This window comes from Homo sapiens, chromosome 13 (genome assembly GCF_000001405.40).
Source record: "Homo sapiens chromosome 13, GRCh38.p14 Primary Assembly".
Classification (NCBI taxonomy): domain Eukaryota; kingdom Metazoa; phylum Chordata; class Mammalia; order Primates; family Hominidae; genus Homo; species Homo sapiens.
The window spans coordinates 50,572,387-50,597,353 of record NC_000013.11 but is presented as its reverse complement, the minus strand read 5'-3'; the positions used below and the strand labels follow the sequence as shown (position 1 = coordinate 50,597,353).

Genomic DNA, 24,967 nt, shown 5'->3' with positions numbered 1-24,967 from the left:
GAAGCCTCCCTACCCCACCTCATCCCAGAGGATCTTGCATGTAAGGCAAAGTGTTCTTTCCCACTTTATTTAAGCCAAGAGAGACACAGGCCCACACCAATCAGTGACCTCCCTGCTATTAGCTCTTGCCTGTGTTCCTCTGTGCATTGGTGAAGGAAGAAGCCCTGGGTCCCTATCTTATGATGTCCCAGCCTTTCCTTTGCCTGCACCAGCTCACAGTGGAGCCAAGCAGGGCTGTAAGTCTAGCAGACCCCTCACTGGAGTTGAGTAATTTGCAACCTTGCCCTGATTTAATCTGCAATCCAATTTGCTACTTACTCTCCCCAAGCTCTTATCAACGGTTTACATTTCCATGTGCCTTTTCTGTGCTGTATATCTGTGTTTTCAATTATGTCAGCCCAGGTGAATTAGCCTTCCATTGTTCAAGGTCAAACCTCAAGTTGTTATTTCCTGCCTATACAGCTAGTCCCTTTCCCCTCTATCCCTCTGGGGCAGTTTCTCAATTGTCGCTGGTGTTCCCAGATCCTATCTCCATCAGGTTTCATCTGTGAATTTAATTATGAAGCTATGCCCTATTTGGCTTATTTCACTCCATGGTCCAAACGTTTATTATGCATCCATTCTCCACAGGCACCCTGGTTCCACAGATATGCTAGGCATGCCCTCCGCAGCCATATGAAAATGAAAAGTTAGGAGTCCCAAAAAGGAACTAAATGCGCCTAATTTTGTTCATATTGTTGAGTCCCTTCACCTGACCAGCAAACCCTTTGATCCTGCACTTAGGCGCTTCCATGGCCACAGAGGGCTCTTCTAGCACAGGGATTGTACAGTTGTTAAAGCAAAAAGAAGGCAGAAAAGGCTAATCCAGAGCAACTCTTGAAAGCAGCCCCAAGGAGTCTTCCAGAAAAGCCTTGGTCTGCCTTCCTCCCAGGGGCTCAGCTCCAGCTGCACTTTACCTCTGCAGGTGGAGGCTCCCAGCAAGGCTCTGCTGAGGGCACTGCTGTGGCTCCCCTGCTCACACTTGGGGTCCTGTGGCTGAGTCTAGCCTTTCTTCCTCCTGCACACTGCCTGCCCCATCGCTTTGACAGAGGGGAGCCCCTCAAGTGCATCTTTGGAGGGGACAAGACACTGCTTGATATCCTGAAACATAAAGAGGCAGCATGCATCACTCAGCCACATAGCCCACATGTCACTTCTATCAGTGAAGCCTTTCAGTTTCCACCCTTGTGCTCCTGGCAAATGTGATGGCCCCGATGGCTCTTTGCTCAGTGTGATGGCCCCAGGCACCCTTTGCTCATCTTATGTTCACTTAAGTGGCTGACTGTCCCACGAGTAGAAGCCGGGAGCAGGAGCCACAGTATCTCAGTGATCTTTGTGTCCTCCACCTCTTACCTAGAACATAAGAGGTCCTCGGTAAGTTTATCAAATGACTCCCTGAACAAATGCACATTAGGGAATGTAAATCTTCTTTTCAGATACTGCTCTTGTCTCATCCACCAGTTGCCTTTAAGCAAGTCATTGGTTTTCAATTTGTGTGTGTGTGTGTGAACAAAAAGCTTCTTCACACCAAGTCTTACTTGGAAGACCCTGGCCCCCCAATATATAACATGATAATAGTGAAGTTCATCTTGTTCACATAAAATGGGGAGGCCGTGGGAGCCTCAGTACCACCCACTTGCCATCCCCTCAGCTAAAATCCTCCACATATATAAGTTCTTTTACTTTTCTCTGACTCAAGCCAAATCTTTCTCCCCTCGTGGCAGCTTCTCTCTGATCATCCCAGCCACGGGGGCCCTGCCCGTTTCTGAACTCCTAGGAGTCCTACTGTGTACTCTTGTAACATATACAGAGTTTGTACCAATGAACACTCACATTCACTAAGTCTTGCTGAAGGCCAAGTCCAGTGACATGCACTTTACATACTTATCTCATTTAATCCTCAGGGCAATCCTAGGAGGTATATACTCTCACTATCTCCACTTTACTCATGAGAAAATAGAGGCTCAGAGAGGTTAAGCAATTTGCCAGGGTCATATAGCTATGAACTAGCAGCACTAGGATTTAAACCCCGAGCTAACCCATTTACTGTTTCTACTTTTGATGTGCCATTATTTGATCTTTTCAAGTATATTGTGAACTGAATTGTAGAAACTGCATCTCTACTTCTTTCTCTTGTTGCCCGATTTTTAATACAATGCCTTTAGCAAGAGTATAATTAATAATTTCAGATTAACAAATTCCCCAAAGTATATTGTATCTTTCCTCACTTCTGCCTCCTCTAACATCTGTCTGGCTAGAGGCTGTCAGCTGCTGCATTGGCTATGGTCTCACTTTCTTTCTTCCCCGAAGAAAATTGTCTTTCTGAAGCCTGCAAAGGAAGTCTCCACTGCTGAAAATATTAAGCACTTTCTCCAAAGGCTGGAAGCTAAGCAGGAGTTTCACAGGAGGGAAAAAACAACAGTGACCCCCTCAAATGGAGAGGGGAGGCTCAAGACAGGAAATCGAAGGTAAGGTCAGAGCAGCTCCAGGGAGCAGGGAGATGGACTGAAAGTGAGACTATTTAGATTTTTACCATTTGGGACTCTCCCTGCAGTTTAACTTGACTACATTTTAAAAACAGCCAAGTAGTGAAAGCCCTGCTCTCTGTGAACTCTGGCCTCTCTGCCTGTTTGGGATGTCAGAGAAAGGCTGCACTTTGTGTGAGGCAGCCCCAAGGGGCCACCCGGTGGCCTAGGTGGGGTGATTGATTGGGAGAAGTCCCAGGGGCACCGCCTTCCCGCCACTGCCTTGCACCTGCACTGCGGATAAACAGAGGCTGTGGTCTGCAGGCCCCCCCCCACCCGCCCCCGCCTGACCTACCCCCAGCCTTCGCCTCCTCTGGGCCTCACCCCATGGGGCCCTCTTACTTGAAAATTAACCACAGGCTTAAAGTGAAAAGAGAAGAGGCCTACACTGGCCCAAAGCATAGGCAAGTGAAATAGACAGCAAATAGAGCCACAATAATGCAGGCACCTCTGCACTCGAATAATGCAGGCACCTCTGCACTCGAATCTTAGAATCTGTTCCCTCTCATGAAACTCAATTCCAGTTTTTTTGGCCTTTACTACGGTATATGTCACAAGATTGCCAAAATGTCAGATGGTTAACCACCTTTCATTCTGATTGCTGATTTGAAAAGTTTAAAGTTAATTGGGGATTTCAACAGAAGTCTTCTTTATCTTAAAGTATTTGAAACATTTATCTTTTCTTTGGAAATATAATAAATAGTCTTCAATACCAATATATTTACAACATACTTAATAACTAATCAAATTTTCTCTTTAATGACCTTTGCACTATGCACATGAGCAATGTCTTTAAAAACAAAACACACGCACAGGCATGCACACCCACAGAGCAAAACATGCTTTGAAAAAGGAAAGCAAGAGACAGGGAATAGACATGGTTAGGTGACTGTGCACACGGTTGTGCTTTCTGACTGAGACAAAAAACAAAATTGTTTTTAAGATATATATATTCTATTATTGTACTATGCACTAATGAAAGTTGCTATTGTTATAGATAGATACAAAAACTTAACACAAAACCCTTAGTAAGTGCTGAATTTAAAATGTTCAATGTTGCCTATCAATTTCCTGAGTCTCCTAAGACCTAAATCATATGGATAGCTTTTTGCCCTGCATCCTTTACTTCTTTCTCTTTCTTTAGAAAAATCAGAATAGATTATGCCACATATGGAGTTAAAAAAACACATAGTCTGAAGGAAAGTTGTCTGCAGAGAGAGAAAACAAATAAATAAATAAGTCTACAAATAAACCCAACAGCAAAAGCCACCACAAGTAAGTTGAAAGCAAGTCAACTAGAAAAAAATTGCAGATTGTATCACAAGGGATTCATTTCCTTTATACATAAAGAACTCTGACAAATCACTAAAAAAAACTTCAACAATCCAATGTAAAAAATGAGCAAAATAAATAAACGAACAGCTCACAGAAAATGAACTGAATGTAGCCATTTAAAGTATGAAAAGATGCTTACTCCTCTCAAATGGAAAGACTGAAAAAGAAGAATGTTGGGGGAATAAGCTTATGAGGGGTGAGAAGATATAAAACCTTTACAGAGGATAATTTAGCCAAATATGTCAAAATTGCAAATGCATTTACTCTTTGACCTAGAAATCCCAATTCTAGAAATTAATCCTATGTATGTTATTTTACAGGTGTGAAGTGACATACAACATTATTTACTACCACACTGTAATAGCAAAAAGTACTTTTAGAAATCCAAATGCCAGTCAACAAGGGTCTAGTTAAATGAATTACAGTTCAGCTCCACAATTTTTTATTTGAAACCCTGGGTTTTGATGTGGTTTGCATGTCAGAATGTTTTGAAATTTAGAAAGCTCATATGGGGCATTGAACCTTATATATCAGTCCTTGTATCAGTCTAAGTCACGTTTTGCCACCAAATGAGTTTGCTATTTGGTTCACAGAGGTTTGTTTTGTTTTGTTTTTAATTTTAGGAATTACAGACAGGAGATTGTAGGCATGCACATCCATACTACAGAATACCATACAGCTATAAATAAATGAAACCACAGTTTCTGCAGTGAACAATCTTTAAGATATACTGCTAAGTTACATTTTTTTAAAAAGATGTAAGCATTTATGTATAAATTGCATCACATAATAACGTCTTGGTCAATGATGAACTACATATATAATGATGCTCCCACAAGATTATAATGGAGCTGAAAAATTCCTATCTAGTGACATCATAGCCATTATGACATTGTAGTACAATGCATTACTCAGGTTTTTGTGGTAATGCTGGTGTATACCAACCTACTATGCTGGCCTTCTATAAAATATAACAAATGTGATTATGTACAGCATGTAATATCTGATAATGATAATAAATAACTATGTTACTGGCTTATGTATTTACTATACTACACTTTTTATCATTAGTCTACAGTGTAATTTTTCTATTTAAAAATAAAGCTACTATAAAACAGACTCAGACAGGTCCTGCAGGAGGTATGCAGAAGAAGGCCTTGTTATCATGGGAGATGACAGCTCCGTGTGTGTTATTGCCCCTGAAGACCTTCCAGTGGGACAAGATGTGGAGGTGGAAGAAATGTCCACCAGAAATGAAAAGGAAAAAAAATGTCCTTAAGAAATGAAAAAGTTTAAAAATTTTAAAAGTTGTAGTAAGTTAAGGTTAATTTATTATTGAAGATAATTTTTTAAAATAAATTTAGTGTAGCCTAAGTGTATAGTGTGTATACAAACTACAGTAGTACAATGTCCTAAGCCCTCAAAATCACTCACCACTCACTCATTGACTCACCTAGAGTAACTCCTAGTCCTGCAGGAGGGGGCTCTTTCTGCAGCTAGTCCTGCAGGTTCCATTCATGGTAAGGGTCCTGTATAGGTGTACTATGTTTTTATCTTTTATACTGTATTTATACTGTGCCTTTTCTATGTTTGATGTATAGAGATATGCAAGTACTTACCACTATGTTACAGTTGCCTACCATATTCAGTACAGTCACATGCTGTACAGTTTGTAACCTGGAAGCAACAAGCTACATCATATAGCCTGGATATGTAGTAGGCTACACCATCTAGGTCTGTGTAAGCACACTTTATGAGCTTACTGTAATTTTTCAAATTTATAAACTTTTTCATTTCTTAAAGACTTTTTGCTCAAGGAAATAGCCTAACAATGCATTTCTCAGGACATATTCCTATTATTAAGTGATGCATGACTATATGTGTTTGCTCATATAGGCTGGAAATGGCTCCAAAAAAAAACTGTATTTATTATTTCAGGAAATAGGAACTAGGAGTCATCTATGGACTATTGGTGGGAGGGAGACTTTTCACTATACATGCTTGCATATCCACACTATAAATAGATTACCTATTCAGAGTAAATGAATCACATTTACGCTTTCAGTTGCTAAATAAAGTATGTATATGGATTTCCAGTGGGATGATTAGGCATTATCCTCATAGGGATGTTCTGAGAGCCTTCATGGCATCCTATTAAGTACCAACTATGGGCCAGGCACTGAGCTAGGTGCATTGCCCAGATTACAGCTGGTCATGTGAGGTAAGCATTAATATGCCCATTTTACAGATAGGAAAACCAAGGTTCAGATAGAACCACACAGTAATAAGTGGTAGAGCTGATATTCATACCCAAGTCTGCCTGAGCCTGAATTCTATGACATTAAAGAACATTTCAAAAATAAGAAATAGGTGATTCTCTCTAGAGAATGTGTACAAGGTGTGACTAGAAAGTGAGCCTTTTATGGAACACAATTCTTGGGATGTTTGAGCTTCTGCTCTTCTCTGACTTCGCTGGCATGGCTCAGGCTATGGCTCCAGGGAAGCCCACAGAGCAAGAGCTCTGTGCCCCGGGCGAGGGCTGGAGAGGCAAACTCCTCCATGACAAAGAGTAGACGCCAGCCGGGGCATGGAGTCCAATGTGGGCTCCTGCTGTAGACAAGCAGTGTGGTTGGAGAATGCACTGTCCTCTTCTCCAGATTGTTCATAAGCACTGGCTGGAGAGGAAGTGGTGGGAAGGGTACAAATGGGTTTCTCTATTGAGGGAAATCTAGCTGCAGAAAGAGTCCCCTTCTGGTCTCAAGTACTGTATATTTGAAACTATAGTTTGAAATTCATCAGAATCCACAAATATCAATTCCATTTGACTTTTCAGTCTTTATTCACTTTGTTCCATGATGGGGAGAAACAAAGGGGGACAGTTCAGCCACTCTTCTCAGAATTGAGTACCTAGTAGAGGTCTGAACCCATTCATTTGGGAAAGACTGATGGAGTCAGTGTCTGCTCTAAAACTTATGGGATCGATCCCTTCCCAGAACCCCAAGAGCCCACACATCTCCCAGTCATTCTCCCGTTCTCACCCACCAGGAATGAACGCCAGGTGGGAGTTTTTGAGTTAAGCTGATCTTTAGCCAATGACCCCAGAAGAATTAAGGAAGAAGTAGTGAGTTCTAACAATACACATAGACTTTGAAGCTAGAGTTCTAGGGTGACCAGTTGTCTCCATTTGTCCTGGAACTGTCTTGATTTTAGTACTGAAAGTCCCACAGCCCAGAAAACCCAACAATCCTGGACAAATCAGGACTGTTGATCGCCTTGTCTAGGTTTCGATTCTAGCTCCACCACTTATCAGCTATGTAACCTTGAACAAGTTACTTGACCATATCTCCATTTCTCCATGTGTAAGATAGGGAGAAAAATAGTACCTGTCTCATAGGGTTGTTATGAAGATTAATGAATATTTGCAAAGTGCTTAGAACAGTGCTTACGAAGAGCTCTATAAGTGTTGGTTAAAATAAATTATGTTAAACTTTGTTGAGTCTCATTGTCATTATTTATAACCAGTCTGTAACACAAAGCAATGAACACTCTTAAACTGTATGACTGTGCCGGTTGAGACACAAGACAGTTATCTGGTAACTCAATATGCTATGAAATCAGGGCTGGAGGCCAGCAATCCTTTTGCCCCAGTTCAGCCCACCCTGCCCTGTGTAACTCAGCCAAGCTTCTGATCCTTGCTGGTTCACACCTCTTGCCCTAACTGACTGACACATAGTAGGCTCCCAATAAACATTTATTAAATGAATGCATAACTTTTTCTCACACAGGCCTATCCAGGATTGGTGGAAGCAGTTTGTATTTTTTTGCTTTCTGTTATTCTTTGCAAAGGAATGTGGCTAAGTTTTCGAGGTACTACTTACCTATGATGAGATTTCCTGAGACTATAAAATGAAGCAACAGCAGAGAAGAGAGAAGGCTTCTCTTCTTTGGCAGTTATTTATGGCCCTGGATCTGTGGGTAGCCTGAACACAGAAATGCATATCTTAGTCATAAATTGGTCAGCATTCTGGAAATCTGAAGCCTTGAGATATTAGTAGGTTGGCTTTCAAGCTGCTTCTGCAGAGGTCTGCACAGAAATTCACATGTACACACTCAGTCACTTCCCTGCCTGCCTGTGCACCCTGGCCTGTATTCTGGGAACCTGCCAGGACACACAGGCCTGTCTGCCTGCAGGGTTCCACCCCAGCTGAGTCCTGAGTCAATGGTGGGGCTGGTAGCTGAACCACAGACCTCAAGATGCTCAGGCAAGCCCTGCAAAAGTCTCTGTTCCTGCACTGCATAACAAGCTTCATAGGTTTTTTTGGCTAAAAGGTATTTAAATGGAATCATTTTTTTCCATATTACTTTGAAAAGTTTATTTCATCAACCATGAAAATGTTTAATCATATTATTGGAGGTTTTAAGAAAACTCACCATGTTGAAGACGTTTCTTTTTTACTCATTTGAGGTAAAGAACACAATGATATTTAACTTTCCTCAAGGGGCACAGCAACTTAGACTTGAGATGAGCAATGCTTTAGGAATCACAGGGCATGAATGAGCCAAACAAGGAAAGAAAAGTCTACCCCTGACAGACTCAGGGGTCTACCCACTGAGTACCCCCGCGCCAGTGTAAAGTAATGTGTTGGGTTCAGTTTGAGTGATGGGTCTAATAAAATAGATTGGGGCCCACTGCCTAGCCAGCTTGCAAAGCCACTGATGCTCCACTAGGAGAGCACGTACCATGTTTGCTCCCCAAAGCTGACTCGTTCTAGAACTAGCACAGCCCTTCCCCCAGAGAGCCACATTCCCTTTAGGGGGCAGACATTTGGATAGAAAAGCCGTAGGAACACCTAGAAGGCTGGGTCTGGGGAGCTGGCCTCCAGCCTCTCCTTTCATCCAGCAGAAAGCACCTCTCTCTGACAGTTTTCACCCCCATCAACAAAATCAGACTGCTCTAAGCTGCAGTCCCGGGCAGGCCTGCCCTAACACCTTCTAGCAGGCCTAGGGAAGAGTATAAATGGAGGTCTGCCTAGCACAGGTCTAGATTTGTAAAAGTTACACAGAAGCTCACAAATCATTAAATATGCTTGCTCCTCTATATTGATAAATATATCCAGAAGGCTGAGGACCCATTTAGAATTCAGACTCCTCACAGTTCTGCAGCAGAACGTCAGAGCTTCTGGAAAACTGGATGCTATCACTTAGGTCCCAGCCTATGACCCATCCTCCTGTCCTTTCCTCCCTGGCTCTGTCCAACATCAGTTCTCACTTCCATGAACTGCCCACACAGTTCCTCCCACGCACTGCCCACACAGACTGCCTTGGCCACCCCTTGATGGAATACACTAGATTGCACCTGGGTGTGGGAGGGCCTTGGCTGTTTGGGTAGCCACCGAGGGGCAGTCTAGGGGGCAGTGCAGGCAGGCCGAGGGAAGCCGAGCTGAATCCCCTAAAGAACAGGGCCCAGGCTGGGACTCATGCCTGGGCCGTTAGCACCAAAAAGCAGATCCAAGGCAAACAACCAGCAAAGGCGAGGAAAAGGTCAGGACTGCTGAGTTTCTTGGTGATGGGGCAACTTTTGTTTGCGTGAACTGGGAGGAGGTAGGGAGAGGATGGGAAAGGGGAACCAAAAGGTCTGAGTGATGCGCCACCCAAGGGGTGAGAGTGAAAGAAGCCGAGCATTTGCCTTCAAGATGAATCAGGGTCAACTATTTGGGAGTTGGCGTGGACTGAAAATGGTGGATCAAAATTTATCTCTGGAGATATCCCCTGCCTTTCCCAAACACAATGTCAAAGAAAGGTCAGACATTAAAGTAACCACAAGGAACCTAAAAATATGGTCTTCATAGCTGTAAGACTTTGAAGAGCTTTTCTTTTTAAATGAAGGGGGATGGGAGTGGCATCTTAATCAAGCAGCCTTTCGAAGTCCTAACGGTTTTCAGGTTTTCTCAAGACCTTCCTATAAAACCAAAAGACACAGATGAATTTATTTTACAAATTTAAGCACATATGGGAGAAAAACAGCACAAAAAGCCTGAGGTTTGGTGACAAAAAGAAATCAAGAACAAAGTAGCAGGAGAGAAGTCTTTTAGAGTTTTTCAGACAAAGAGGAACTGGCCGAACATGATGCAGAGAGGAAGGCGGTCTCAGAGCAGCCTCTTGAGACTCTATAATGCAAACATTCTGTTTATTTAACAACTTTGTTCCCAGAAGTTCAAATTCTCACTCTGCCTACATTCAATTCTGTCCGTATTCTACAAGGCAACTGGTATTTCTTCACACCTCTTGCCCTGCTGGGAGAATCACAAAAGACCCGTCCTCTCTCTTCTCTGTGCCCTGGATCTTGTAGCCATATCCAGTAGGGTTTTGAGACCTGGGGAGGATAGACGACTATGAGAATGAGATCAATAAAGCAGCCAGGCTTGGGTGTGGAGGTTAACAGAGTGTGAGGGGATTGAAGGAAGAGACAAAAATTACTTTTGTCACCAATGAGAAGTTTTAGACTCCAAGAGGTTTAATAACTTGTCCTAAAGCAAGCGTGGAAGCCAGAAAGTCTGCAGACCCCCAAATGCCAAACCCTGCTCCACGCAGCAGGATCCAAGCACAGCCCAGTTACCCTCATCCCCGCACAGGGCAGAGAACCAGAGCACAGAAGATGACAATACCCAGAGGAAATCTGAAAAGCAGCATGAAGGTAATTACAGATTGGAAGGAAACTTATTCCAAAGACTTAGAGCTATATAACCTGGCCCAGCGACTGCATTGCTAAAAGGAAACACAATAGTGGTGGATATGAAATGAACATTCAAAAGGCATAAACAAAGGCTTAGGCTACTCCAAGGGAAACATAAATTCAGTGATGTGATGGAAAATATAGGCTTGATTTGAGGAGAATTACTATATTGGGAAGATCTATTAATCTGTTGATAGTCTCTCAAAGAAAGTGATGGCAGCTTGCTAGCTTGCTTCATTTAAAGTCAGTCTGTATGAGGAGCTGGAAAATACATTTCGGGGAGCGGGACTGAGCAGCGGGAGAGGGATGGGTTGCCCTCATAAATCTTGTTCATTTTTCATCTTGATGATTTTTCTCTCCCGTTTCCTCCCATTCTCTTTGTATTCTCATCCAAATGCCCCTCAGAACAACAAAATCCTCTCCCATGGAAATTTCTTCCTAGGCTAAGGGAAGGGAGGTGCTGCCCCATGGACTGGGATTGTGAGTGGGGTGGATAATTGGTCTGTTTCACTCAGGTCCTGCAAGGCCAACAAAAGGGGGGTTTGCCCCATGGGTTATCTTCCTCTGCTGGCCTGGCTTCTCTGTGCTCAAGTGGGGCCTGTGTCTCCCCTGCTTGGTACCCAAGGACTAAACCTTTAAGATGCCAGCTCTTAAAATCAGGAGTCGAAACCCCAGTACAGAGGGCTGAGATGATCCAGGTGAGCTAAGACACCTTTTCAGCTCTGGTCAGGAGACTGAGCGACAGCCTTTCACACCCTTACAGCAGGAGTGTGACAATTTCCCTAATGCTTTTTCAAGGGCTTTCATTTTTATCCAAATAGCTTCTAGCATTGCCAAGTAAAAGGAGAGGTGTTGCTATTGTCCAAACTATAAGCGAACAGCACAGTCTTATGTGAATCCAATTGAACGAGAGTTTTGCTGGAAGGTCCAAATAGCAAACCACTTTTTCCAGATGTCACAAAGCCTGAGGTCTGTGTGAAGGAAAACGCAGTGCTCTGGACTTTTCATCTGGTATATCTGTGGAAAGACCCCTTAAAGAAAATGTTTACTTCACACTCAAGCTGCTCTGAGCTCTGAGGGTGCCCCAACAGCCCCTTGATTTAGTATTTCAGAAACACACTCTTGTGTGAGAGGCGAAATTATCCTGGGAAAAAATGGGACTTGGACCCTAGGTTTTATTTGCTGAAATAAAGATTGCAGAAATAGATAGGGACAGAGAAAATGGTTTTGAAATATGTTCCTTGTTATAACCCTGTTGCCAGCACTTAAATAAAAGGGGGTTTAAAGAAGTAAATCCCTGCTCGGCATCCCAGGGGAGCAATTCTGTCTTAGGGATCTTTGCTGACACAGCTGATGCATACTCAAGACATCTGCAGGATGAAGTGCTCTGTGGCTAAAAGTAGAAGAGAATCCACTAAGAAATAGCCACACCGTGTGGAAGCGAAACCTCATCAAGCTGTGCAAATGTGGCTCGTGGAGAACCTAGCCTGATTTCCTGGATTTACACAGTACGCAGTATAAATCATAAAACCCAAAGAACGAATTAGACTTTTAATCATAAAATATTAGCATAAAAAGGCCGAAAGCTGACACCAGCTTTGTTCTCCGAGGCACACAAAGGGCTCCCTTAGCCTTCCCACCTTGACTCACTCACATTCCTTGTCTACCACTCTGTCCCAAGTCCCTGTCCTCTGCCTGTCTCCCAAGCCCAGTTTATCAGACTAAACGTGTGTCCATTGTCAGAAAGCTAGCTTTGTTCCATTCCTTCTAAGTGGGTACATACACTTACCATCCACTGGGGTTCCTACATGTTCCAACGGGTTAGGGGCACCTTGTTCATGGATAAGTAAATTGGCTTCTGGGAAGCTCAGCTTATTATGCAGTATCTCTGGCATTTCAGAGGTTGGGGAGCTTGGGTTCTTACTGTCACTTCTGGCTCTTATTCCTGCTCCTGAATTCCCTAGTGTCACTTCTGGCTCTTATTCCTGCTTCTGAATTCCCTTTCTCTTGTCTATTTCTTACCTCTGGAATGTGCCATCTCTTCTCTGTACTACATGACCTTACACTGAATATCCTACCCATCTACCCCAAAGCTACAGACTTTTACTGAAGGTTGGGGATTGCTATGGTGTGAACGTATGTATCCCCCACAAATTCATATGTTGGAACCTAAGACGCAGCGTGATAGTATTAGGAGGTAAGGCCTTTGACAGGTGATTAGGCCATGAGGGCTCTGTCCTCATGGATGGGATTAGTGCCTTATAAAGGGCCCTAGCCAGGCCCTCTTGCCCTTCCACCATGTTCTGTGTAAGGACACAGCATTTGTTCCCTCCAGAGGATGCAGCGACAAGGCACCACCTCGAAAGTGAAAAGTGATCCTTCATCAGACAGAATCTGAAGATGCCTGGATCTTGGACTTCCCAGCCACCAGAATTGTGAAAAATAAGTTTCCATCATTTATAAATTTCACAGTTTAAGGTATTTTGTTATAGCAGCAGGAATGAACTAAGACAGGCTTTATGAAGTCAGACAAGCAACTGCAATGCAAAACAGCACAGAAAACAATGAAAATTAGGCACGAGATGCCTAAATTTCCATTCTCACAGCTGACATAATCATTATCCATCCCAGACTGTTTCTGCCTCTTTCCTTTGTTTCTCTCTATTCACTTGCTCTCATCTTCTCTATTTGCACCCATTCTCAAATTTCCAATCTTCTCCCTCTTGGTTTCAACAAGGAAATTTTAAAATATTCTAACCTTAGTATACACAGCGAGATACTGTTTTAGGCAATAGAGCTAGACTGCCTAAGTTGAAACCCCAGCTTCATCACTTCCTTGCTGTCCAGCCTTGGGCAAATCACCTAACCTTTCTGTGCCTCGGTTTCTCATTTGGAATAAGAAGAGTACCTACTTCAGAGAGCTTTTGTGAGGATTAAATGAGTTAATATTTTTAAAGCACTGGAATCATATCTGAAATCAGATTTCAATAAGTGTTAGTTACTATTATATCATTTATTTCACCTCAATATCTTCCTGACTACACTCTTGTTGCTTTTTTGCAATCAAATGGTCAAAACAAAAATAATAGTTTATTCTCTAGGAAGAATTTGTTTAATAATTTTGATATAAATTTTTCTGCTTCCTGGATGGGTAGCCACAAACTTTTAGGAAGCCAGAGAAGAGGTGGGCACTTCTGGGAGACTTCCTGAATAATCATGCTGAGCACCCAGGCCCTACTGCTGCTACCATTTATCCATGTATTCATTCACTAATCCACAAACATTTATTGTGCACTATATTAGTTTGGTAGGGCTGCTATAACAAAGCACCACAGACAAGGTGGCTTAGAACAACAGAAATTTATTGTCTTAAACACTAGGTTCAGCATTGCTATCAGTGACGTCATTTTCGAAAAGAGTAAACAATTCTTGGTAAAGCGCTGAATAAAACAAAGCACTATCTTCCCTCAATATACACAGTAGGACCATTCTTGAAAAGTCTTATATGTACTAAAATTGTGAAGAAATAGATGTGTGTATACCTATATCTGAGTTTACATTCTAAATTTAGATAATTATACATATTTGACTGAGGTCCTAAGCTCAGATCATTAAAAAAAGAGTTTCCACCTGGACGATGTGTATGGTAAGAGACCATTCTTCACTATGCAGGACTGTTCTGGGAATAGCAAGTCATGTAACATCTCTGGCCAGCCCCCACCCCCGCACCCAGCATGAGCCATGGTTCACTCTAATCACTGCAACAACCAAAAACACCCCCCACATTTCCAATGCCCATCATAGTGGGTATTGTCCCCATAGAGAACCACAGAGTTGGTCCAAAGCACTTTTGGTTCTCGAATCTCCTCTATAACATCCTAAGCACACGCTCAATAAACATTTGTTGAATGAAGAAAAGTTCAGACTTGAATTGTTGAATAGTACAGACTCAGAAAAGTAATTAACTATCAGTAAACCATAACTGTAATAGGTATACAAAGTTTTTGAGGCAACCATACACTCAGGATGCCTTTAAAAAAAAGAAAAAGAAAAAGAAAATGTATTTTTTTAGCAGTGGGGTCTCACTCTGTCACCCAGGCTGGAGTGCCGTAGCGTGATTATAACTCACTGCAGCCTCGAACTCCTAGGCTCAAGGGATCATCCTGCCTCAGTCTCCCAAGTGGCTAGGACTACAGGCACCTGCCACCACACCTGGCTAATTTATTTTTTTAAGAGACAGGGTCTCACTATGTTGCCCAGGCTCATCTCAAACTGTTGGCCTCAAGCAATTCTCCTGCCTTGGCCTTCCAAAGTGCTGGGATTACAGGCATGAGCCACCATGCTTGGCATCAGAATGATTCTTTATGGATACTTAGAATATTCAATCCTTTCTTGAATTAGCAAAAACTTTAAGTTAGGTAGAGAAGTGTTAATAAGTTATAACCACATACCTAAACTTTGTGGGAATCTTATTTATACCCATCTTCTGCCTCTTTCTTTTCAAACCCCTAGGTCATATCCTGTATTATAACAACTTCTGTGTTTTTGGCTTTCTCTCCTCCAAACAGCAATAAACATCATTGAGTCCCCTTTCTAAGAGCCTACAAAAGCTCCCAGCTGTCCTTCATAAAACATGAAAACTGTAGTTAATGCTTTCAAGGTTCTCAGTCAGTGATTTCTTCTTCCTACAGGCCCTGGCTCCTAATCTCTGTCCTATTCTAGCAACACTGCTCACTCCTCTGCCTCTCTCTGCCCTCATGGCAAAATCTTGCTCCTTCCCATTTTCCATTTGCTCTTTTCTATTTTAAGAATCACCATCTCTATGAATTCTTTCTAGATTCACTCAGTTAATGCTATTCACACAATTCTTAAATTTGCCTGTGCATTGGAGTCACCTGGAGAGTTTTTAAAAGTCCTGAGACTAGGCTCCACCCAGGACAAATTAAACCAGAATCTCTAGGGAATGGAACCCAGGCACTGGAATTTTACAGCTCTCCAAGATCCTCAGTGTCAGCCACATTGGAAAACCACTGCACTAGTGCTACATACAGCACCTGTATCTTATTAAGCTTGAATACTATCCGTTGCACCTGTAAAGGGTTTTCTGGCATGGACCTACCCTCTTTCCCTTCACAGTAAGACAGGAAACTCTCAATACCTTTCAACCTTAAATGTGGTTAGGATTTACCTAGAGATCTTATTTGGATATAAATTCTGATTCTGGAGGTCCAGGGTGAGGTTCTACATTTCTAACTAGCTACCAGTGTCCCAAAATATGCTTTCCCAATGTGACACTATATATTTAATACTCCTACCTATATTATCTATATATGAATCCTCTCAAGCTAAGAATTTCAAGACATGACGAAGGGGAAGCCTATCTCCTGACTGATTCTCTGAGGAGTTCTTTTAAACTGTTTCTAGGATATGTGGCATGTTGGGCAAATATTTTTTTACCAGGTCATGTCTAAATAAATGATTTGATTAAAAATATACTCCAGTAAGTAAAAACCACAATGAGATACCACTTCACACCCACTAGGATGACTATAATAAAACCTAATGGAAAATAACAAGTGTTGGTGAGGACGTAAAGAGATTGAAACCCTTGTGCACTGCTGGTAGGAATGTGAGATAGTGCAGCTGCTTTGGGAAACAGTCTGGCAGGGCCTCAAATGATTCAACATAGAATTAACATATGACTTCACAATTCCACTCCTAAGTATATATCCAAAAGAAGTGAAAACACGTATTCAAAATAACAAAAACTTGTGTAGGAATGTTCACAGCAGCACTATTCACAATAGACAAAAGGTGGAAACAACCCAAATGTCCGTCAACTGATGAATGCATAAAGAAAACATAGTATATCCATACGATGAAATATCATTCAGCTATAAACAGGAAAGGGAGTCCTGATACATGCCACAACATAGATGACCCTCAAAAACAATACACTAAGTGAAGGAAGCCAGACATGAAAGACCATGTACTGCATGATTCCATTTATATAAAATTTCCACAATAGGTAAATCCATAGAGACTGGAAGCAGAGTGGTGTTTGCCAGGGGCTGGGGAAAAGAGAGAGTGGGGAGTGACTGCTTGGTGGGTACAGGGTTTCCTTTGGGAATGATAGAAATATTTTGGAATTAGATAGAGGTGATGATGCACAACATTGTAAATATACTACATGCCACTGAATTGTATACTTTGAAATCATTAATTTTATGTTGTATGAATTTAACCTCAATAAAAATTGTATTACAAAATCATAGGTCCCTGTGAATATAGTAATTTCTGTAATGGGTGCAGAAGCGTTACTTATGTGTTATTTTGTTGTCCAATCAGTGGAGGTGGTATACAGGCACCCCCTCTTTCTGTTCAAGTCCAGGAACTATCTCTTTAGGTTCTTTATTTCAGTAATGCCCTGAATAATTTCATGTCTTTCACCATGAGGAAAAATGTAGCCACACTGTTATTACTTACAAGGCCATGGATCTTCAGAGCCTATTTATATGGAAATATTCTAGATCTTCTGGCCCCTGCATTTATTTGATGCTGATGATACCATAACCAGGAGGCTGCACCATCCATGTGAATACTGGCTTCCAATGTCTCTTTCCAAGATTGCTACTGTGCTTGGTTCATGGATGATGACAACAAATGTAAATCTTACCCAGAGTATGTATGCAAATGTAGACAACAATTTGTTTTCTGGTCATGTTAAATTTACTGTTCAGAACCTTATAGGGTAAATGTAGAACAACACATCTTCCAGCCATATCTTCTGCATTCTTTAGGCTGTAATCCCTGCATTCCTGCAATGTGATCTCTTTCAGTGCCGGCTGTATGGATGCTTTCCACACATGACACCAACAGGGAGGTTAGGAGGGTCCTATGGTCAGAGTGATAAGAGTGGTCCCACTCACGCACGGATCATCCTTCCCTCACCCTCGGCAGCTTAAAACTGACCTGAGAGAGCCTGATGTCACTACATCGGGTGGACCCTACAAGAGAGGGCATGGATTGATAGGGTCACTTGTAATTTAGGAGTGATTGTCTTGAAAGCCCTTGAGGGAGACAGGCACAGCCTTGCTCAGGTCTAAGAATGGTACTGGTCGGGGGGCAAGTTGGCCCTCTCTCCTGTCTGTAACGCAGCCTTCTGTGCTTGTGGGGAGGAGCGATGGGCACATATCCACCTCTGTAGAGTTAACAGCTCTTTCCCTCTCATTAAATTGCAAATCTGCCAAGCAAATCTACCATGTTCTGAGTCTTCAGAAACACAATCTCGGGGCTACACAAAATTTGAGTTTGGTTTTTCAAATGAACGCAAATTGTTGCAAATAACAGAAGTGAGCATTTAGAAAGCAAGAGATACTGATGGCTAAAGATTGGCTCTGTGGATTTATAAATGCTTTTTGAGAAAACATCGAGTTAAACTCAGACCACATATGGAAGGTCAAATTTCACGCTCTCACCTGATTTTAACAACTTGCCTTCACAACCTTGTTTTCAATGTTGTGGGAGAGAGCAGGGAGGAAAGTCACATTTTTCTTCCGTTTGTCAGTTTTATGTCTTTTTCTTCTTTGTTGACTTATGGTTCTTTGATGTTTATTCTGGAGATTTATCCTTAAATTAGCAAAATCTGGTACCAGCATTGTTGCTTACAGGAAGACAGTACATGGATATGGCCTGAACCTTGAACTACAGTGAAGACTCTTTAGTTATGACCCACAAAGCAGACTCAATGACCATCATTCTTTGGTTTTCCCCAGTGGTATTTTTATAAATCTTCATTATGAGAAAATATGGAGGCTTGTTGACAGGTTCGAGAAAAGAGGAATCTAATTTTGATATAATTCTCTTCCTAAAATATAAATCTGGTATAATTGAGTTGATCAATGCTATAAAATAGACACTATCATCTAGAAATCCAAAATTGTCTTCAGAAAAATACGTATCCTTAGTTTCAACAATTCATCTAGAGAAATTTATAGCCTTTAAAAGACATTAAATTGATCAGAACAATATATCTCTCTGAACACCTCAAACACTCATAAGACATAAAAAACAAAATTTAATACGTGCTGTGTGCCAGACATGGTGTTAGGAGCTAAAAATGTAGAGGAGAAGACAACAGACATGGTCCTTGTCTTCATGAGAGAGGGAGATCAAACAAATAATTATACGAGTGACTGCAGAATTACAATTGTGATGAGTATTGCAAAGAAAAGTCCCAAGGGCTACGGAATTAGAAGAGGAGAGACTAACATTTTCCAGAGGTCAAGAAAGGCCTGCTGGCTGGGGGGGAGTGGTTATTTATAGTCATTTAAGCTGAAATCTGAAAGGACAAGAAAGAAGTAGCTGTAGTCCTCTTGAATAATGGATTTTTATTCCCCAGAAGTCTTCAACACTTATTTTTGTGCTATTTTCTCTTATCCCTTCCAAATTTTCACTCAATTAAGATACCTCTAAGTTGGCACATAGTTGAAGAAGAGGATACAACTCTTAGTGGGGCTCCATTATCAAGATTAATTATGATAAATTATAAATTATCCAGACCCTAATCCTACTTCCTAAATCTAAGCTTGTCCCCATTTCTTGCTCACCAGCATTAAGGAAAAGTAATGGGACTCACAGCTTCTGCCTTACTGTTGGCTCCCACATTGCTCATTAATCACACTAAGCTGTTGAACTGTTTAGACACCTTTCCAGGTGACTTACAACAGCACGTCCCTTACGTCTGTCAGTAATGTTTCAGCTCCACAGTAATTGCAGTGTTCTCTGTAAGACAGTTTGAGAAATAATTTACTCAAGTGTGATTATTGTGTTTGGGTAGAGATCAACAGGGAGTAGAAAAAGAGACTATGTTAAAAATCAATGATGCAGGTCTCAAGTTCCAAAGTTGCTTCTCCTTTGGAACATTTTTAGGAGAAATACATTCCCATATGCCTATTATACATGGCCTTATCCTCTTTGTCTCTTGCTTGTTACTTTTATGAAAACCCAATGGCACTTGATTACTCCACCAGCCATCTTGAATCTCCAAATGCCTTGTTCAGTCAAAGAAAATCATTTTGATACATTCAGCCAAAAATCATTTACTGTATCAGAGACATTTTTCAAGGTCAATTTTGGGATCTCCTGCAAGTTTTCATATGTGCATAGATTATAAAAATTAGATTAGATTTTTATAATCTATGCACATATGATAGGTTAGATCTCTATAATTGATACACATATGACTAATGAAAAAATACTATGAATTAGGCCGGGCACGGTGGCTCATGCCTGTAATCCTAGCACTTTGGGAGGCTGAGGCAGGTGGATCACCTGAGGTAAGGAGTTCGAGACCAACCTGGCCAACATAGCGAAACTCTGTCTCTACTAAAAATACAAAAATTAGCCAGGCATGGTGGCAGGTGCTTGTAATCCCAGCTACTCAGGAGGCTGAGGCAGGAGAATCACTTGAACCCCAGTGGGGCAGAGGTTGCAGTGAGCTGAGATCATGCCACTTCTTCACTCCAGCCTGGGTGACAGAGTGAGACTCCATCTTAAAAAAAAAAAAAAATACTATGAATTAGTCTCTGATGGCCACACTCTAAGTTTGAATAATTTGCAGCAGAGATGCCTTAACTTCCTCCATATCATGAGCTGGTTTTGCCCATTGGGAACACTGCCTGTCCATGTGTCTCCAACATCAACATAGCAGGATTCAAACTCCATTTTTGATTCCTTTTGTTCTACATTTTGTGGGCTCGTGGTCATATCAGTCATGCCCTTCTGAGATCCCACGTCAGATCCTAGCCAGGGAAGGGACTCCTCAGTGTAAGCTATCAGCCTTCACTTCCCAAAGCCTCTCTCCCAGCCCCTGAGGTGATAAAAAGTGACAGTTCTTCCAACAGGCCAGCTACAAGGGTGTCCAAGAATACAGAAAGAATTTCCTTCATCTGTGCCCAGGGTTGTCCATCTCTATCACCCTCCCAGGTGGGACGTTCTCAAGAAGCCTCTTCCATTTTGGCTGCATGTAGTTTATTTTGTCCAGCATTTCAGAGGTGTCTCCTGCCTCTGTCCTCAGCCTGGAGAACAGACTCAGCAGAAATTACACGGTTTTTGTTTTTGTTTTTTTTTTTTTTGTCCTCAGTTGACCTCCAGGGAAACTAGGACAGCGTGAGGCAAAGAAGGCAAGGTCTCTCAATAATGCACCAGTGGTCAAGGCTGGCTTTCAGTGGCGCCTCTCCAAACAGCCAAAATCGGTGTCAAACCACCAGCCTGTGCAGCCTTTCCAAGATGCTCCAGCTGTTTATTCAGCCACTAAGTGTTCTGCCCAAAGTGGACTCCACCCAATGGTGAGCTAAGACAAATCAAACATTCATTCACACAGTCGGGAGTGACATGCCCACCCAGCCCGGCCCTCTGATGCCTGCAGAGTCTAGCTGCAGCTGGCTCCATGCTCACAGGTGCCAGGCACCTGGCCAAGCATGGCAGTGATCTCTGGGGTGGGGCGGGAGGAGATGTTTGCACAGGGCACAAGCACCCCTGCCAGAAGCAACAGTGAAGGCCACTGTTTGTTGTGGAAAGAGGATAGTTTTTGAGCCCCGCTGATCAAGGTTTGGATCCTAGCTCAGTCTCTTTCCACCTGTGCAACCTTGAGAAAGTACCATAACAGCAATGGAACTCAGCTTACCCATCTATGAAGCGAATGTAATGATAACACAACCTCAAGGGGTTGTTGTGAGGGTTAGCTATCACAGAAGTAAATAGCCTGAAAACAGAGTCTGGTTGTAGCAGGGGTCAAATAAATGACAGCTAAGAGAGAAAAGCCCTTTCCAAAGGAGGGACCAGGCTCTGTTCATGCTGCAGCTGATGTGGTAGGGGTTCCCTTTGTCCCAAGTCTGCTCTTGAGACCCTACTGGGTTGCCTATGGCCCACTGTATATATAGTATAGTGGCAAGACACCAGCCTGGGAGAGAGAGTCCTGGCCTATTTCTGCTTCTAGGCTATTCTGTTGACTTGAACAATTCACCGCACTTCTCTAGGTCACTTTATGCATGTATAGGATGGGACTGTTTTGAGCTGTTAATCTTTAAGGCTTTGGGTTTGAACCATTCCCCTGTCACTTACTTATTAGGTAACTTTACAAGTAACCTCTCTCAGAATTTCTTCCCAAGGAGTTCATGGCAGAACGAGCACACAGCTACCCAAAACCTGAATTATTAGCACCCCTAAAAGGCAGTGAGCAAGGCTTTATGAGGGATTTGATCCAAAATCCAACATCTATAGACTGTCCTGTGCTATCCATTTAGACCACATTGTCAAGATCTCCATTGCTCACATACAGGAGGCTGTGCGCACATCCAGCGGTGCAAGATCTTTGACCTTCAACAAAGGCTCCATCATAGTTTCTAAACAGTATTTCCTGGTAAATACTGTAGGTAAACAGACTTCCTGGAAATATTTTTAACTCCATACATGGAAACAAATAAGAGTTTTCTATTAACAGAGTTAATCAGAAATTCAAGTGTCTCAGAACCTCCCTTTCCACATCCACAGCCTTGACTGGAGGCCCCACAGGCCCCAGTTATGCAGCCAATGGAGGAGCAAATAAATCTCTTCCAAAAACCAAGTCTTCCTGCTACTGGAACCACCGCCCCAATCTTGATTTAAAAGAATTTGGGAAATACTGAGTAACAATAACTTTCCTACAGTACTGTGGTTTCTTCCTACCCACTCTCTACCACAGAACTCAGCTAAAAACAATACATTATGTCATCTCAATAATTTGCTGATTAAAACTCCTCTATAAAAAGATACCCTTCTTCCCCAGGGGGCCACCTACTCAGCTGGCCTCTGAAGCACTGTTTACGTTTCCAACTTTAGCCATCAAGAGAGGCTGAAAATTTTCTACACAATGTTGGAATAACCTTTCCTACATCTCAGGGTCAGGCTTCTCTGCCTGAGGAAGAAAGGCTAATAAAATACATTAGCGTGTCCCTGTGTGGTGTTTATGCATATGTCATGAAGAAACATCTGGTCCTGGCTTCTTCCAAGACATTCTTCTCTGGTGCTAGAATTGGTAGTTATTTTGATAGACAACCATTGGCATACATACCTCCAGATACATCTTACAGTAACATTTTCCACAGAAACACCAGGATTAAATGCCTATCTTCTGCAGGAAAGGAACACCATGTGTTTACTTTTTCTCAACATATTACTTTGTTGGAGTTTTCAACCATACCTGTAAAAATTCTCCTTGGAGCTTACTCAGCTCATAGAAAGTGCTCCAAAAGCTTTCTCTGTTGTTCTGCTGTGTGTCCCTGCTGCCTGCAACTAGTAGGCACTCAATAAATATTTTCTGGATAAATGAGAACGCCTTAAAAATTTAAATTATAAAACAGAGAGAAAAGCACAGTTGGGAGACATTAAGTCATAGATGGGGAAGAAAGCATGGATTTGGGTTAATCAAAACCCTGTACATAGATGGTGAATTCATGTTTTTTCCTTCAGGTTGTAAGAAAAGAAGAAAATGCAAATAGAGAACTGGGAATAAATAGGAATTAGGCAGATTTGCCAAGCAACAAAATGAAATATATCTTAGTTGTTTGGGAAATACACACATACATGTACACACACACACACACATACACACAGGTACACGCACACACATACATATGCATATACATACATGTTCACACACGTGCAGACATGTACACACATATGTGCACACATGTACACAACACACACATTCATATATACATGTAAGTGCACGTGCATACGCATATAAGTGAACACATGTACTCACATACATATATGAGTGTGCACATGTACTCAGATACACATGCATACACATATACTCATAAGTACACACATACACACATGTATGCATGTGCATGCACATATACACAGGTATATGCATACACATGTACATACATACACACATACCCATGTAAGTGCACATTCATACACACATACACATATAAGTGCACACATGTACACACAGGCATATGCATACGTGCATACACACATGCACATGCACACGTAAGTGCACATACAATATGCATGTACACACATAAGTGTACACACAAGTGCATGATACACACATACATGTGTATGCACATACACACTTAAGTGCACACACATGTACACACATAAGTGCACACACACAGCTACACCCACATGTATGTACACCCATATATCACAGAGGCCAGGCTGGTGACAGATAAGTGCACAGAGTTTCCGAGGAACCCTCACTCCCTCTAGTATTTCTTCCTAAGAGTGTGAGACTCGCTGAATGACATTCATCTTTCCATGTTTGTATCACTTGCTGAGGGCACAGTGAGGACAGGGGGATTATGAGAGCTTATTTTTACATTGTGGTAAAACTTATCTGGACTCAAAATATTCCCTCGCCCATTTCCTTCTCATCTATCCTGTCAAAAGTTTCATAGATTCTTTTGCCTGACATTCCTGACAAATTTTTACTTCCAATGCGGAGCTCTACAAGAAATATGAGAATTTAGAAACCAAAAGCCATGAGAAGAGTTATTTTCTACCTCTTTTTCCCCACCTCCCTCCCCATAACTTTGTGGTTTTAATATGACTTGAACTAAAACTGCACAATAGGTTGGTAGGCGAGTGACACATTGAAGGGGTTATGAAGAAACAACAAGATGCTCAGACGTTCAGCTTGGTCCAAATGGATTTGCAAATCCCAAATCACGTGAATTCATAGCACACGGTCAAGCAGATTCTTTATTCACTATTCAGGTAATATGAATAGTTATCATGACCATACCATATATAATGCAGACTTTTTAATTTGTGTATATGGTTTAGGGGTGATTGTATAACACATATGTGTTGTGTATACAACATTACAGATAAAATTTTAATGATTCAAACTATATTACTCTTCAGTCTTGGCTGTAGGAGCCAGGGCAAAACAGAGGTCCATTTACTCTGATCCCCATCTCCACCACGCTCAGGAATTGAATAAAACTGCAAGAGCAACATTCACTCAACACATATTTATTGAGTGCTTGTTTTACGTGACACACTGTAGTAGGTGGGAGGAATACCATGGTAAACAAAACAGATAAGGATCCTGCTCTCATGAAGTGTGTATTCCATCAGAGGGGCATATTTAATACATAAGTAATGCATTAAAAATACATAATATGCCACACGGTGGTAAGTGCCTGGAAGTAAAGGGACAGTGATGAGATCAATCTGTCCTTGTAGATAGGGAAGTCAGGGCAGCCTCTACAAGGAGATGACTTCTAACCAGAGACCAGAATGAAATGAGGGATTGAGCCATACTTGGGGGAAGAAG

At 41.9% G+C, this 24,967-nt stretch overlaps 2 annotated features.

Moving 5' to 3' along the window:
* Nucleotides 2,378-2,577: an enhancer, noted in NCBI's record as "active region_7761". NCBI's record gives its function as "activates an Ori minimal core promoter by ATAC-STARR-seq in GM12878 lymphoblastoid cells {active_cell/tissue: GM12878}" and the evidence as "EXISTENCE:reporter gene assay evidence [ECO:0000049][PMID:35858748]".
* Nucleotides 2,678-2,877: a silencer, noted in NCBI's record as "silent region_5360". NCBI's record gives its function as "represses an Ori minimal core promoter by ATAC-STARR-seq in GM12878 lymphoblastoid cells {active_cell/tissue: GM12878}" and the evidence as "EXISTENCE:reporter gene assay evidence [ECO:0000049][PMID:35858748]".